Below are 2,071 nucleotides of genomic sequence, written 5' to 3' on the forward strand. Positions count from 1 at the left end.
CCCACCAGGCCAAGGGATCATAGAAATCATCCCACACAGGGTGGCCATGAGGAATAAGTGAAGTGACACCTAGGAAACCCTGGCACAGTGCTTGACCCACAACCTGTGAGGAGCTTTATTCATGTTGGCTTTTGTTCTTTATTGTTATCCTTGTAAATCTTGTCTTCTATCCCAAGCTCTGGTGCCCCGCACATGGCAGACACTTGATTAGTGTATATAAGCTGGACTCCCTTCATTCAATGGCAAGAAATTTACCTGAGCCTGGTGCAGTGGCACACACCTATAATCTCAGTTATTTGGAGGCTGAGGTGGGAGGATTGCTTGAGCCCAGGAGTTCAAGACTGCCGTGAGCTGTGATCATGCCACTGCACTCAGCCTGGATGACAGAGCGAGACTCTATCTCTAAAAAAGAAAGAAAGAAAAGAAAGAAAGAAGAAAGAAAGAAAGAAAGAGAGAAAGAAAGAAAGAAAGAAAAAAAAAAGAAAGAAAGAAAGAAAGAAGAAAGAAAGAAAGAAAAAAGAAAGACATTAACCCAGCTCCTACCGTGGGCTGGAGGAAGATGATGATTCAGATATGGTTCCTCACCTCTACCCATCTGCCACTCCTGCCAAAGGCAGGACTTACCCACCTCCTGGTGGCCTCCATCTAAGCCATGCTCTCTCATACTTTCCATGCCCTAAGCCCAGGACCTCCTCTCCCCTCTGCTTCACCTGAATAGATCCCATTCAGCCCCATTCCAGGAAGCTTCTCCGACCCTCCGAGCTGTGTCAGGTGCCCTCCCTGAGGGTCTGGAGTGCCCATTACTTCCTCCCATCACACCGCTTACCATCCTACATGGTAACTGGTACGTCTGTATCTCCTACTAAAGTCCAAGCCCCAGGAGAAGAGGAATTGTGTCTGTTTTGGTCACCTTTATATCCCCAGCCTGGCAGATATTAGGTGCTCAATACATGCTTGTTGAATGAATGAATCTCTGTATAACCAAACCAACACCTAGCACAAACTAGGTGCTCAATACGTGTTTATTAAATAAAATGATGAAGTTGATGCTTTCAAGGAATTCAGTCTTATCAGGGGTCAATGCACATGCTGCTATTTTGTGCAAATGGAGCTCAGAAGGAGCAGCTGGGAGAGTCAGGAGGACTTCCTAGAGGAGGTGGCAGGTCAGTAGGGTCTTGAAGAATAAGTAGGGATTGTTCCAGAGGAAGAGGGAGAGATGTTGAACAGAGTGGATATTTTGACAGGGGAGAGACCCTGAATGGGAACACCAAGAGACAGAATTCTTTCCTGGATCTTGGGCCAGGATGCTATTGTTAAGCAATTCGGGATGGGATTCATCTAGGATGTGTTCAAATGTGGGCACGGGTAGAGCTAATTGTGGGGAGCAGGGAGAGGCTGGAGCAGTGTGGTGGGGAGGTGTCTGGACTCAGCTGTAGCTGGGAAGTGGGAGAGAGTGAGGAGAGAATGCCCACCCCTTATCCCTGAAAGGAGACCCAGCTTAGGTGCTCACGGCCAGGCAGGGACCAGGCCCGGTGCCCAGAGCCTCTGAGGGGCTGGGATAGTAAGGATGGAGGAGGAGATGAGATGAAGGTGCCCTCCTGGCCTCGATTTCCCCAGCAAGAAGCTTGGGCTGATAGGATTGCTTCAGAAATCCAAGGCAGAAAGCCTAGAGCCATCACTCAGGAGCCATGGTGGGGAGCAGTGGTGATGTCAGAAGCAATGACAGTGCAGAAGGGAAAACAAGAGTGGGGAGAAGGAAAGAGAATCAGGGACCAGAGGACCCCTTGACCCAGAGAAACAGGAAGTTAGGGTGGGGGGAGTGGGAAATGGGTGTTGGGACAGCAGGGCAGGGGTGCAGAATAGTGGGGGATGGGGGAGGGCCTCCCAGGGAGGGAGGTTCAGAGCTTGGCTATAGCAGTGCTGAGAGGAGGAAGGTGGTTAGGACTCTGGAGGCGGAGGGCAGATGAAGATGTTCTTTCATCTTCTTCCTGGCAAGAAGGGGCCAGGCCGTGATAGGGAGAATGACGGAAAGTCTCTTTGGAGCTGTTGGTTTGAAAGAATTTGTCTTTGG

This window comes from Homo sapiens, chromosome 17, assembly GCF_000001405.40.
Source record: "Homo sapiens chromosome 17, GRCh38.p14 Primary Assembly".
NCBI classification, from domain to species: domain Eukaryota; kingdom Metazoa; phylum Chordata; class Mammalia; order Primates; family Hominidae; genus Homo; species Homo sapiens.